This window comes from Homo sapiens, chromosome 7 (assembly GCF_000001405.40).
Source record: "Homo sapiens chromosome 7, GRCh38.p14 Primary Assembly".
Taxonomy (NCBI): Eukaryota; Metazoa; Chordata; class Mammalia; order Primates; family Hominidae; genus Homo; species Homo sapiens.
In genome coordinates, this window is record NC_000007.14 from 138040184 (window position 1) to 138055816 (window position 15633).

The 15633-nt window shown below is 38.0% G+C and overlaps 1 pseudogene; it reads left to right on the top strand.

Moving 5' to 3' along the window:
- Positions 7070–7914, top strand: LOC100420648 (Der1-like domain family, member 2 pseudogene; annotated as a pseudogene).
- Positions 7915–15633: the final 7719 nt, after the last annotated feature.

A 15633-nucleotide genomic window follows, 5' to 3' on the forward strand; every position in this document is an offset into this window, starting at 1 on the left:
CACAGTGTTGGAAGTTCTGGCCAAGGCAATCAGGCAAGAGAAAGAAATAAAGGGTATTCAATTAGGAAAAGAGGAAGTGAAATTGTCTCTGTTTGCAGATGACATCATTGTATATTTAGAAAACCCCATCGTCTCAGCCCCAAATCTCCTTAAGCTGATAAGCAACTTCAGAAAAGTCTCAGGATACAAAATCAATGTGCAAAAATCACAAGCATTCCTATACACCAATAACAGACAAACAGAGAGCCAAATCATGAGTGAACTCCCATTCACAATTGCTACAAAGAGAATAAAATACCAAGGAATCCAACTTACAAGGGATGTGAAGGACCTCTTCCAGGAGAATTACAAACCAGTGCTCAACGAAATAAAAGAGGACACAAACAAATGGAAGAACATTCCGTGCTCATGGTTAGGAAGAATGAACATCGTGAAAATGGCCATACTGCCCAAGGTAATTTATAGATTCAATGCCATCCCCATCAAGCTATCAATGACTTTCCTCACAGAATTGGAAAAAACTACTTTAAAGTTCGTATGGAAACAAAAAGGAGCCCACATTGCCAAGACAATCCTAAGCAAAAACAACAAAGCTGGAGGCATCATGCTACCTGACTTCAAACTATACTACAAGGCTACAGTAACCAAAACAGCATGGTACTGGTACCAAAACAGAGAGATAGACCAATGGAACAGAACAGAGCCCTCAGAAATAATACCACACATCTACAACCATCTGATCTTTGACAAACCTGACAAAAACAAGAAATGGGGAAAGGATTCCCTATTTAATAAATGGTGCTGGGAACACTGGCTAGCCATATGTAGAAAGCTGAAACTAGATCCCTTCCTTACACCTTATACAAAAATTAATTCAAGATGGATTAAAGACTTAAATGTTAGACCTAAAACCATAAAAACTCTAGCAGGACACCTAGGCAATACCATTCGGGACATAGGCTTGGGCAAGGACTTCATGACTAAAACACCAAAAGCAATGGCAACAAAAGCCAAAATAGACAAATGGGATCTAATTAAACTAAAGAGCTTCTGCACAGCAAAAGAAACGGCCATCAGAGTGAATAGGCAACCTACAGAATGGGAGAAAATTTTTACAATCTACCCATCTGACACAGGGCTAATACCCAGAATCTACAAAGAACTTAAACAAATTTACAAGAGAAAACAAACAGCCCATCAAGAACTGGGCAAAGGATATGAACAGATGTTTCTCAAAAGAAGACATTTATGCAGCCAACAGACACATGAAAAAATGCTCATCATCACTGGCCATCAGAGAAATGCAAATCAAAACCACAATGAGATACCAGCTCACACCAGTTAGAATGTGATCATTAAAAAGTCAGGAAACAACAGATGCTGGAGAGGATGTGGAGAAATAGGAAAGCTTTTACACTGCTGGTGGGACTGTAACCTAGTTCAACCATTGTGGAAGACAGTGTGGCCATTCCTCAAGGATCTAGAACTAGAAATACCATTTGACCCAGCCATCCCATTACTGGGTATATACCCAAAGGATTATAAATCATGCTGCTATAAAGACACATGCACACGTATGTTTATTGCAGCACTATTCACAACAGCAAAGACTTGGAACCAACCAAATGTCCATCAATGATAGACTGGATTAAGAAAATGTGGCACATATACACCATGGAATACTATGCAGCCATAAAAAAGGATGAGTTCATGTCCTCTGTAGGGACATGGATGAAGCTGGAAACCATCATTCTGAGCAAACTATCACAAGGACAGAAAACCAAACACCGCATGTTCTCACTTATAGGTGGGAATTGAACAATGAGAACACTTGGACACAGGGCAGGGAACATCACACACCAGGGCCTTTCGTGGGGTGGGGGGCAGGGGGAGGGATAGCATTAGGAGAAATACCTAATGTAAATGACAAGTTAATGGGTGCAGCAAACCAACATGGCACATGTCTACCTATGTAACAAACCTGCACGTTGTGCACATGTACCCTAGAACTTAAAGTATAATTTTAAAAAAAAGTATGTGTTCCAAAACATATACTTTTGTGTGATATTCCTGTGATTCTGATATGTCTTAGTGTATTAGTACTAATTATGATTATTATGTAAAATTGTTGTATGCCACAGAAGTAACCAAATTTCTTTGTCAATTGTATCTTTAACCATAGCTGTTCTAAGATTTTTGTCATTCATAATTGTTGTTTTACTCTGCTACTTTTATAAGGCAGTTTATAATCAGCTATAGAACTCTGAGGAGTACTCTTAAATATACATTTCTGATAACTTTAGAGATTGTTCCATTGAAATAAAGAGGAAAACTTACAGGACTTTCATGGAGAGCTGATGAATTCATGAGGTTTGCTAATCCAATACCAGGAAGAACAGGAGTTAATTGCATGGGCTGAACTAATAGAAGACTGAAATAATGTTTTATGACTTTTTGTGTAAAACGTTTGCTTATTCTCTTATTTTTCAGTTAAGAGAACTTTTTCTTCTTTTAAGCTATTTACAGCTCTTAACAATTGAGTAAAGTATACTCTTATGAGCAAAATTTAAAACATAATTCCTTTCTCTCACTGAATTTCTACAAATTTTGGAACTATTAAGTGAATATTCTTAATATATGATAATATAGTTATTTGCATAATTTTAGTAACAGTCTGTTTTCTTTTATAACAGAGCATAATTTGAGTCACTGATTATTTTACCAAGGCTTTGACTGGGATGACATTTTCAGATTGCCTTGAGAAAATGAGGCTGATCTATAGAGCCAATAAAACACCCTCGGAAAAATTGGCCTAATATTTTGTCCTTTACAGGGTCCTGACCTGTGGATATGCAAAGAACGTCACTTTCTTCCTTTTCTGAAGCAGGTTAAAGAAAAAAAAAGAATGACACTTTCTGGCAGGCCCAGGAACCCTAAGTTTTCTTGGGACCTTAAAAAGAGGAATTCACCCAATTCACACAGGCATTTGCAGGCACAGGTAAATCCTTGGCTAGGCTCCAGGCTTTTAAAAAGGTCTAATCTTAGATTCCTTATGAAAAAGGTTCTAGCAAAGCAAATTGTTTAAAAAGGATTAGGGATAAAAGTATTTAAGGTTAAAAAAAAGAAATGTAAAAAAGAGAGACAGAGGGCCTATAGGGCAAATGCTTATTCTTGCTGCACTTTATGCAAATAATTAAGCCAAATGTAATAGGACTAAAACTTACTTTACAAATAAGTTAGTCCTACTGAACTAATGCTTGGACTTCCGCTTCTGGCCAAGATAGAATAACAGGGACTATAGTTAACCTTCTCCCTGGAACAATCTAACAAACCAGACAAAATATATAAAAACATTTTTTTAAGATGCTGAATATTAGACAATGAAAGACAGTGATCCCAGAGAGAATAGCATGAAATACTGTATTTCTCTTTTGAATAAAAACTGATTTGTAAAAATATTAGAATTATATCAGTTTTCTTGTTGTTGACCTGAATTTAAATTTTTTTTAACGTAGATATTTTCATTTCCAGGTGTGTTTTTCTCATTTCAGTGATATTCTAGCAGAGTGCAAATCTTGTTGCCCAATATACTTGAAAATAGACGTTTTCACAACGACTATGATACTCACCTTAATTTATCTATTGGTAATTGCAAAATGGTAATATCATAATTCTTACATTTATCAGTTGCATTCTTCAGAAAATAAGAGTTTTTCCTCACCAAGTGTAAATAAACTGTGTTACAAAACTCAGGATGAAAATGTAATCATTCGTACTTAACTGTCAGTTTTTGGAATGGGAGTAGACATAATAATTGCCTGCAGTGGTAGTCTGTGAAGGGCTTTTATTCTTTTTTCTTTCAGTTCTTAATTTTTTAAAAATAATTGTATTAGCTGGGCGTGGTGGGCATGCACCTGCAGACCTAGCTACTGAAGAGGCTGAGGCAGGAGGATCACTTGAGCCTAGGAGTTCGAAGCTACACTGAGCTATGATCACACCACTGCACTCCAGCCTGGGCAACAGAACGAGAACCTGTCTATAAATAAATAAACAATAATTCTAGACTCATGAATTTTATTTACTCGAAGTTTTATAATCACTATTTTTAAAATAATCAAATTGTCCCAAATTGGACTAGCAAGAGCTCCAGCAAACTGACCTCTGTGTCCTTTTGATTCATTTCAGTTCTTTTTGAGCACTTTCTTCCCTTTGGCACATCCAGAAAGGCAAGTTCACCCGTCCTTTCTCTGCCCCAGTCCATATCCAGTCATAGCTCTAAAGAGCCTTAATTTCCTGGAATATAGAAAGGTATTTAGACACTGAGATCTGAGCTCTAGGAGGGCTCACTACTAAGCTATCATTGCTTTTAGGTGGCTTCAGTGTGAAGAATATATGAATACCTTCTTAACTTGATTTTATATTGATATATCCAACTCAAATTTGATATGACATGGCATGATTTTATGTTTATAGCTCTTTGACACTTTAAATCTTGATTCCTAATAACTTTAAGATATTTATGTATTTATTTACTTGCTTTATCTTACAACAAAGATAAAAACATTTTCAAAATTCTGCCCTGATGATCTTAGGTTGAGAAAAAAAAAGTTTCAAAATTACAGTACCAATATCACTATAGGCACTGAACCACCACACCAGGCTAATTGTTTTACTTTTTGTAAAGATGAGATCTTGCTATGTTACCCAGCCTGGCCGCAAGCAATCCTCCCACTTCAGCCTCTCAAACCTTTTAGTTCTAATGGCTTTGAACTTCAGAGAAAGGATATCTTACTATTTGTTCTTTTCTGGACTCCATTTTTTAAACTCTATATTGCATTCCTGAGATTTGTGCATGTTGTTTTGTGAAACTGTTGTTTACTCATTTTCAATGAGGTGTACTATTCCATTGTGTAAATATACTACAAGTCACTTATCTTCCTCTGTCACCCAGGCTAGAGTGCAGTGTCATGATCATAGCCCACTGTAAACTCAAACTCCTGGTCTCAAGCAATCCTCCCACCTCAGTCTCCCAAGTAGCTGGGTTATAGGTATGCAACACCACACCCAGCTAATTACTTTATTTTTTGTACTGGCTGGTCTCGAACTCCTGAGTGGCCTCCCAAAAGTGCTGGGATTACAGGCGTGAGCCACCGTGCTTGGCTAATTTTCTAAATTTTTTTCTAATGTGACTTTTGCATATGTTGTATGTGATTCGCTTCCTTTTCATCTTGCCTTGTTTTCCTTTCAACATCTTTACACGGGGATTGATGTGATTCTTTTCTGTTGTTCATCTTTCAATGAGATGTGCCAAGTAGTTATTAATTTCAGACAAAGCCAACTTCAGAACAAGGAAAATGACCCAGAATAAAGAAGGACATTACATAATAATAGAGGAGTCAGTTATTCAAGAAGACATAATTTCTAACGTGTGTGCACCTAGCAACAAAGCATCAAAATATACAAGGCAAAAACTGATAAACTGCAAAGAGAAACAGATGAATCCACTATTACATGTGAATACTTCCATGCCCCTTTGGAGTAACTAATGGATCCTGTGGGCTGAAAATCAGTAAGGACATAGTCGAGCTGAACAGCAGCACCAAACAACGGGATCTAATTGACATCTATAGAATATGTCATCTAGCGACAGAGGAATCCATATTCTTTTCAAGTTCACACACAACATTGACTATGATATAAGACCACATTCTGGGCCATAAAACACACCTTAGCAATCAGAAATTATACAAAGTATCCTCTCAGATTACAATGGAATTAAACCAGAAATCAAATCAGAAAGATAGCTGGAAAACCCCCAAAACCCCCGAAATACTTCAGCTTAAACAATCCAATTTTAAATAAACATAGGTTAAAGAAGTCTCTAGATAAATTTTAAAATATTTTGAAATAAATTAAAATGAAAATACAACTTATCAAAATGCGTAGGATACAGTGAAAGCAATACTTTTACAGGAATGTATAGCATTGATAGCATTGAATGTGTACACCAGGAAAGAAGGAAGACTTCTGATTTTAAAATGGCAGCATAGAAGCAAGCTGGCTTCATTGCCCTCCTACAGAAAACCAAAAAATATATAGAGAGCATTGAGATTTTTACCAGCAACAATTCAGAACTCAAACATGAAGAGAGATACCAGATCCACAAAAAAGTAAAAAATTCCAAACTGATAGTAGGAGAATCAGACTTTCATATACCTGATACCGCATCTCCTCATTCTGCCCAGCAACCTGCATGTGAAAAATCTTTCCTCAACCAACAGTTTCTACACTAGAAAAAGTGAGATTGAGGTGGTCAACCAGCTTTCTCACCGCAGTTACCAATATCAGAAATTAAAGAGGGGCCATCACTACTAATTCCACAGACATTAAAAAAAAATGCAATGAATAATCTATGTCCACCTATTTGAAAACCTAGATAAAATAGACCAGTTCCTTGAATGGCACAGCCTAGATCCTGCCAGTCAGCCGTGCCTACACAACTGCCTGAGTTCTCACCACCACTGCCGTGGTGAGCAGCTGCAGTGCCACCTTCTCATTATCCTGGCTGGATATAACTGAGTCTTCAGGAAACTGGGGATTGAGCCTTGGGGATGCCCAGAGGCCCTGGTCACAGGGTTGGTGGGGGCATACGAAGATTACTCTGGGGTGGCCGGGTGCAGTGGCTCACGCCTGTAATACCAGCACTTTGGGAGGTTGAGGTGGGTGGATCACCTGAGGATGAGAGTTCAAGACCAGCCTGACCAACGTGGAGAAACTCCATCTCTACTAAATATACAAAATTAGCCAGGCGTGGTGGCACATACCTGTAATCCCAGCTACTCGGGAGGCTGAGGCAGGAGAATTGCTTGAACCCGGGAGGTGGAGGTTGCGGTGAGCCAAGATCATGCCATTGCACCCCAGCCTGAGCAACAAGAGCGGAACTCCATCTCAAAAATAAATTAAATAAATAAATAAATAAATAAATAAATAAATTACTCCAGGGTTCAAGTTGGCATCGAGAATGCTTCTCCAGTGACCCAAGAAGGGAGTGCTGTTTCAAGAGGGGTCAGCAGTTGGAAGTGATCACACCTTTTCAGTTATACTTCAATTCCTTAATTAATCTTTAAACACTTTCAAATATGGAGATTAATAACAAAGTTCTTATTTTGAGGGGCAGTTGGATTCCGTTTTTTATTTAACATAATTTTTCTATCGTTACTGTCAAATGCTAGAAGGCTGTTTCCAAGGCTGGACAGCAGACTGTCCTTTCTGGTGGATTATTAATGACCGTTTCCTTCAACAAATAAAACACACACAGGAAAATGTTAAAGAACACCCCGTCTTCTTCCTAAAGCTGTTCATCTGTCTCCCACGATTCACTAGATATTCTGAACAGATAAAAGTAGACCTCCAGATTTTCACTTCAGGGCATTGTCATTTATTTCACAGCACATTTTCTGTGACAACTTTCCAAGCCTAGAGGTCGAACAGGATGAGCATGTCAGAGGAACTTTTAACCAGGCATTGCAATTGGATACATATATTTTTTCTTGGAAGATCTGTTTCCTGGTCAGTCTGGTGGAATAAGAATTCTGAAAACACCATCTATTTTGAAAGTGATTTTTGATACACCAGATGAGGATCCAAATTACAATCCACACCTGAAGAACGGCCAGAAGGTTTCACCTGGGGTGAGGGCCAGCGCCTCAAAGGTTAAAGCAGCAGTGCCAATAATGAGACCCAGCTGAGCAGGACCCAGTGATACCCATTGGGATTCTTTTATCCTTTGTTGCAAAAGTGTGGACACTTTTGACAGCCTGGCAGATTTTAATTCCAGGAGCACTTTATGAAATGATACACTGACAAATCCAGAAGACATTTCTAGCAGTTTGCCAGTGATTTCTCACTACACTGGTACCGAAAGTGTAATCTCTCGAAGCCAAAAAACTGGAGCAACAAACATCCTGCCACCTCTAACAAGTATACCAGTACTTGCATTCTACGGCATAAAGCAGGGCTTTTTCTTCCTCTTCTTTGATAGATGAGGACATGGTATAAATGGAAGTTTCAGAGAGGACAAAATAAAACTGAATTCCACTTTTCTCTCACTGCAAAAAAAAAAAAAAAAAAAGAAAGAAAGAAAAAAAAGGACACAACCCAAACTAACATACATAAAGTAGATAATCTGAAAAGGCCTATATTTATTTTAAAAACTGAATCAGTAATTAACCTTCCAAAACAGGAAATACAGACCAAGATGATTTCACTGGTGGATTCTACCAAATATTAAAAAAAAATTATATTGGTTATTTACAGTTTCTTGCAGTAAATAGAACCAGAGAGAAAACTTCCTAATTCATTCTATGAGGTCACATTACCCTAATACCAGAGAGTGACACTACAAGTAAGAACTACAGACCAGTATGTCTCGTGAACATAAATGCAAATATCCTCAGTAAAACATTAGCAAAACAAATCCAACAATGTATTAAAAAAATACACCACAAATAATTGAGATTTATTCCAGGTATGCAAGGCTGATTCAATGTTTGAAAATCATTTAATGTAATTCATCACATCAACAGGCTAAAGAAGAAAAGACATATGGTCAGTCATATCAATAGATGCAGAAAAAGCATTTGACAAACAAACTATGACACCCACTCATGGTAAGAACAACAAAAACAATCTAGAAAACTAGGAATAGGGAAAACTGTTACCAAAATGACCTAGAGGTTTGGTGTACTCCTGCTGCTTGCTGCACAGAAAGTCAATCACTGAAACAAGTATTGTGAGAAATGAAGCCTTTATTTGGGCTCTGCAGCCAAGGAGATGGGGGATCAGTCTCAAATCTGTCTTCCTGACCAATGAAACTTAGAGGTTTATATAGTAGAAATGTAACTACATGCAGGAAAACAAGAATTAGGGAGGGGTAAGGAAGAGAAGTTAGTCAGTGGGAAGCTGGTGGCTGGTTAGACAATCATGATGGGTTAGGGGTCTGACAATTCATTGTCCAAATGCAGTGACCTGGTGAGTTTCAGTTCTTTGATATTATATGGGAGGTCTGATGATTAATTTCCTGAGAAGGGAGCTCAGATAAGACAAATATAACTTTCTCAAATTTCAAAACTGAGAGGATCAGTTTCTGCGTTTATTCAAAAGAAAGCATGAACATCAGTTCTGTGGGACAATTGGGTCAGTTTCAAAATTTCCTAAACTCAATAAAGAAAAATTGAAGGAGATTTAAATAAATGGAGATATATTCCATGCACATGAATAGGAAGACTCAATAATGTCAAAATGTAAGTTCCTCCCAACTTTATATATTCAACACAATCTCAATCAAAATCTCAACTCATTTTGTGAAAATCGACAAACTAATCCTCAAGTTTATATAAAAAGCTGAAGACCTAGAATAGCCAACTGACATTATCTAACTTCAGGATTTACTATAAAGCTATTGTAATGAAGACAGTGTGGTATTGGTGAAAAAACAAATAGATCAATAGAACAGAATCAACAGACCAGAAACAGATCTATATAAATACAGTCAACTGATCTTTTATAAGGGAGCAAAGGCATTTCAATGGGGAAAAGATAGTCTTTTCAATTATTGGTGCTAGAACAACCAGACATCCAAAAACAAACAAACAAACAAACCAAAAGTACTAATCCAAAAACAAACAAACAAAAAGTACTATAGCCCTAGTTACTCAAGAGCCTGAGGTGGAAGGATCACTTGAGCCCAGGAGTTGGAAGCTGCAGTGAGCTAAGTTCATGCCACTGAACTCTAGCCTGGGTAACAGGGTGAAACCTTATCTCTTAAAACAAAACAAACAAAACAAAACAAAACAAAACTGGATCTGAACATGGACTTTACACCTTTCATAAAAATTAACTCAAAATGGATCATAGAACTATAAATGTAAAACACAAAATTATAAAACTTCTAGATTATAAAATAAGAGAAAATCTAGGTGACCTTGGGTTTGGCAGTGAATTTTTTGATACAACACCAAAAGCATGGCCCATGAAAGGAAAAAATTAATAAGTAGAACTTCAGTAAAATTTAAAACTTCTGCTTCAAGAAAGATACTGTTAAGAGACTGAAAAAACACAAACTGGCAGAAAATATTTGCAAAACATATCTGATAAAGGACTGGTATCTAAAATATATGAAGAACTCTTAAACTAAACAATAAGAAAACAACCCAGTTTTAAAATGGGCAAAAGATCTGAATAGACACCTCACCAAAAAAGATACACAGATGGTAAATAAGCATATGAAAAGATGCTCAACATCGTATGTCATTAAAGAATTTCAAATTTAAACATTGAGATACCACTACATACCTACTAAAATCACTAATTCATGTGATATATGATATAAAATCTAACAATTTTTGTCTGATCTCTAAACTACCTGTACCTTACAAAAATCAAAGGCAGAGGGTTAATTCAATCCTCTTTTGTAAGGATTGTAGCAATCCTTTTGTAAGCCAAAACCAAAGAGATTGCTACATATCAAAAGTCCGTGGAGGCTGGGCTTGGTGGCTCACGCCTGTACTCCCAGCACTTTGGGAGGCCGAGGTGGGCGGATCACTTGAGGTCAGGAGTTCGAGACCAGCCTGGCCAACATGGTGAAACCCCATCTCTACTAAAAAAATACAAAAATTAGGTGGGTGTGGTGCCACATGCTCGTAATCCCAGCTACTTGTGAGGCTGAGGCATGAGAATCACTTGAACCTGGGAGGTGGAGGTTGCAGTGAGCTGAGACTGCACCACCGCACTGCAGCCAGGGCAACAGAGTGTGACTCTGTCTCAAAAAAAAAAAAAAAAAAAAAAAAGCCATGGGTAATCAGTACAGTGACAATGTGATATTGGTGAAAATAACAGGCAAATAGTTCAATAAAACAAAATGCGTAGCCCAAAAATAGACCCACAAATATAGTGGTCTTTGTTGAAGAAGCAAGGCAGCCTGGGCAACAAAGTGAGACCTCTACTTTAAATAAATAAATAAATAGAATTTCAATTTATGTATGTTTTGTGCCTGTCTTTATCACTCAGCCTAATGATTTTGAGATTCCTCCACGTTGTGGCACATACAAGTAGTTTATATTCCTTCTTACTCCCTGGTAGCATTTGCTTGCTTGTATATGCCACAGTTTGTTTCTCCATTGACCTGTTGATGGACTTTTGTGCTGCTTCCAGTTTGGGACTCACAAAGAAATCTGTTACGAACATCAGTGTACAAGTCTTTGTGTAGACATACTGTGTCCAGAATTGGTTCCTTCTGGTGGGTTCTTGTTCTCGCTGACTTCAAGAATGAAGCCACGGACCCTCGTGGTGAGTGTTACAGTTCTTAAAGATGGTGTGTCCAGAGTTTGTTCCTTCAGATGTTCAGATGTGTCCAGAATTTCTTCCTTCCAGTGGGTTCGTGGTCTCGCTGACTTCAGGAATGAAGCCACAGACCCTCATGGTGAGTGTTACAGCTCATAAAGGTAGTGCAGACCCAAAGAGTGAGCAGCAGCAAGATTTATTGTGAGGAGCAAAAGAACAAAGCTTCCACAGTGTGGAAGGGGACCCAGGTGGATTGCTGTTGCTGGCTCGGGTGGCCAGCTTTTATTCCCTTATTTGGCCCTGCCCACGTCCTGCTGATTGGTCCATTTTACAGAGTGCTGATTGGTCCATTTTACAGAGTGCTGATTGGTGCGTTTACAAGCCTTTAACTAGACACAGAGTGCTGATTGGTGCGTTTTTACAGAGTACTGATTGGTGCGTTTACAATCCTTTAGCTAGACACAGAGCACTGATTGGTGCATTTTTACAGAGTGCTGATTGGTTCATTTACAATCCTCTAGCTAGACACAGAGTGCTGACTGGTGCATTTTTACAGAGTGCTGATTGGTGCATTTACAATCCTCTAGCTAGACAGAAAAGTTCTCCAAGTCCCCACTCGACCCAGGAAGTCTGGCTGGCTTCACCTCTCAACACGTTTTGGTGAGCAGGTGGTTCACAGAGAGAAACTATAAATAATCAAAAACAAGTTTTAAAAGACATAAAATTTGAAACACAATCTTTTAGTTTATTTATTTATTTACTTAGAGACAGTTTCTCACTCTGTTGCCTAGGATGAGGGCAGTGGCACAATCACAGCTCACTACAACCTCGACCTACTGGGCTCAAGCAATTCTCCCACCTCAGCCTCCCAAATAGCTGGAACTACAGGTGCCCATCACCACACCTGGCTAATTTCTGTATCTTTTGTAGAGACCAAGTTTCACCATGTTGCCCAGGCTGGTCTCGAACCCCTGGGTTGCCTCCCAAAAGTGCTGAGATTACAGGCATGAGCCACCGTGCTCGGCTCTGTGCTAATTTTCTAAATTTTTTTCTAATGTGACTTTTCCATTTGTTGTATGTGATTCACTTCCTTTTCATCTTGCCTTGTTTTCCTTTCAGCATATTTATATGGGGCTTGAATGTAATTCTTTTCTGTTGTTCATCTTTAAATGAGATGTGTCTTCTCATTTAAAGAATGACAAGACATTCATTCTTGTGGGCTCCCCATAAAGCCATTTCCACAATTTTGAGATCTGCTTCCTCTGGACCCATTCCACCAGCAGTTGAAACATTTTTCTCTCTCACTCTCCCTTTCCGCTCCTAAGTACGCTCTTATTTTCTGTTGTGCTCTAGGCAGCCTTTTCCATAAAATATGCTTCTGTGCAATTTAAATGAGTTTTTCCTGGGTATTTCCGAGTTCCTTGAATGAGGCTGCCTCAGGACTTGCTGATCTCCTACAGCCTCTTAGAGAGTACTCATGGACTTTTGGTGCCCACCTACATATTGGATCCTCCTTCCAACTCACTGATACTTTTTTTTTTTGAAACAGATGAAATTAATTTTATTAATATATTTTGTTTAGCCCAATACATCACAAAATTATTTTCAACATGTAGTCAACATAAAACATTGTTAGTGAGATATTTTACCTTCTATTCCCCCAATCTTCAAAATCCAGTCTGTATTTTATTCTTGCAGCACATCTCAATTTGTCTTGCCAAATTTCATGGCCAGTGGCTACTGTATTGGATAACATAGATGGATCCACGCCAAGAAATATCTGTTCCGGGTATTGCCAGCACACTTGATGAGCCCTCAAAGCCCTCACTCCAATCCCAATATTGCCTCAGAACCCTGGTCTTTCATATGAGAAATGACTTCAAATACACAAAACCTTCTGGGATGGCACCAAACCCAATTGGATTCTGGAAAATACAAAGACAGGCCACTATATAGGATTTATGTTTTGATCTGTGGACTGATGTTAACTTGAGGATGCAAAACAACAGACCCAACTCAAAATCAAGAAATGCCTGGCATTCATTTACAGGGAAGCTGGGTGGCTGTCCTGTGCTTAAGAAAACAGCTACCATTACTGAGAGTGTCATGGTCTTCCTCTAGCGTCCTTAGGAGCCACTTTTGTATTTTGATAGACAGAGAAAGAAGTTGGACAACTTTTCTTAAACAGAAAGGATATTTTTAAATTTCCTAAAACACCTGTTAATATCTGTAATCAAAACGATAGCTGAAATAACTCATTAGGACCTCATTGCATTTTTGTTGTGCTAAAGATTTAGATAATAGCAGCATCAGATGAAATAAACTTTTACCCACTTTAATGGAACTTATGTATGGCCAAGTGCTTTTGAATTCCTATAAGGTGAAACAGAGTACATCAGAGAGTACCATTTGCATAGAATAATGTCACACATGAAGCCAGATTACATTTGTTAGATGATTTGTAGTTTTAGTATCTGTCACAGTAAGTCCTATTACCCATATCTCTGAATGAAAGCTCATGCTAACTTTTTGTTTTTTGTGTGTTTTTTTTTTTTTTTTTGAGATGGAGTCTTGCTCTGTCACCCAGGTTGGAGTGCAATTGTGCTCACTGCAACCTGCGCCTCCTGGGTTCAAGTGATTCTCCTTGCCTCAGCCTCCTGAGTAGCTGGGATTACAGGTGCCTGCCACCATATCCACCTAATTTTTGTATTTTTAGTAGAGACAGGGTTTCACCATGTTGTCCAGGCTGGTCTTGAACTCCTGACCTCAGGTGATCCACATGCTTCAGCCTCCCAAAATGCTGGGATTACAGGTGTGAGCCACTGCACCCAGCCAATTTTTGCTCTCTTTTATCTCCATCATATTTTTAAAAAATTACCATCTATCTACTATTAAACATTACAGGAATATGTAACTTAAAAGTGAAAATTCCCTGTAATGTTATTTGTTTATATTCTTCCAGATTTTTCTATGTATACTCATTTTTCTCTAAATTGAATTCATAAATTCATATTTCAATATTAATTATATTTGTGAAAGTTACCCTTCTCAAAGGCAACCACTACTACCAGTTTCTTCTGTATTTTTTCTAAAGATAGTCTATGTAAAGAACTCCATATAAATCTTTTTTTTTTAATGGTATTATTTGAGGTTAGGAGTTCGAGACCAGCCTGGCCAACATCGTGAAACCCCATCTCTACTAAAAAAATACAAAAATTAGGTGGGTGTGGTGGCACACACTCGTAATCCCAGCTACTTGTGAGGCTGAGTCATGAGAATCACTTGAACCTGGGAGGTGGAGGTTGCAGTGAGCTGAGATTGCACCACCGCACTGCAGGCTGGGCAGCAGAGTGAGACTCTGTCTCAAAAAAAAAAAAAAAAAGTCCATGGGTAATCAGTACAGTCACAATGTGATATTGGTGAAAATAACAGGCAAATAGTTCAATAATTCAATGAAACAAAAAGCACAGCCCAAAAATAGACCCACAATATATAGTCAAATGATCTTTGTTGAAGGAGCAAGGCAGCCTGGGCAACAAAGTGAGCATGTATTCTATGCTTATTCTACTTTTTCATACTTGACATATGTTGGAGATCCTTCCATATCTATACATGAAAAGCTGCCTCTTTCTTTTCTAGAGATGCATGGTATCTTGCAGGCAGCACATTAATTTATTTCACCTATTGATGGACATTTTAATTATTTTCCATATTTTGGGATTGTAAGCAATGTCCAATAAATAACCATGCAATTGTGTCATTTCGAACGTGAATATTTTTATAGGATAACTTTCTGAAATTAGAATCATTAGATCAAAGGGTATATGCACTTTAAATTTTGGTTACATATTGCCAAACTGTACTCCCTAGACAGTTCTGCCATTTCACAATTCCACTAGTACAATGTGTTCTCGTTAGCTGAGAGGTAGAAAAACAGTAACTCATTTAGTTTAATTTGCTTTTCTCTTATGAGTGAACTTGGTCATGTTTAAATAGGTTTAAGGAGCCATTTGCAGTTACTTTCTATAAATTGCCTGTTATTATTTGCTGACTTTTTAAAATTATACTTTAATTTCTAGGGTACATGTGCACAACGTGCGGGTTTGTTACATATGTATACATGAGCCATGTTGGTGTGCTGCACCCATTAACTTGTCATTTACATTAGCTATATCTCCTAATGCTATCCCTCCCCCCTCCCCCCACCCCATGACAGGCCCTGGTGTGTGATGTTCACTGCCCTGTGTCCAAGTGTTCTCATTGCTCAATTCCCACCAATGAGTGAGAACATGC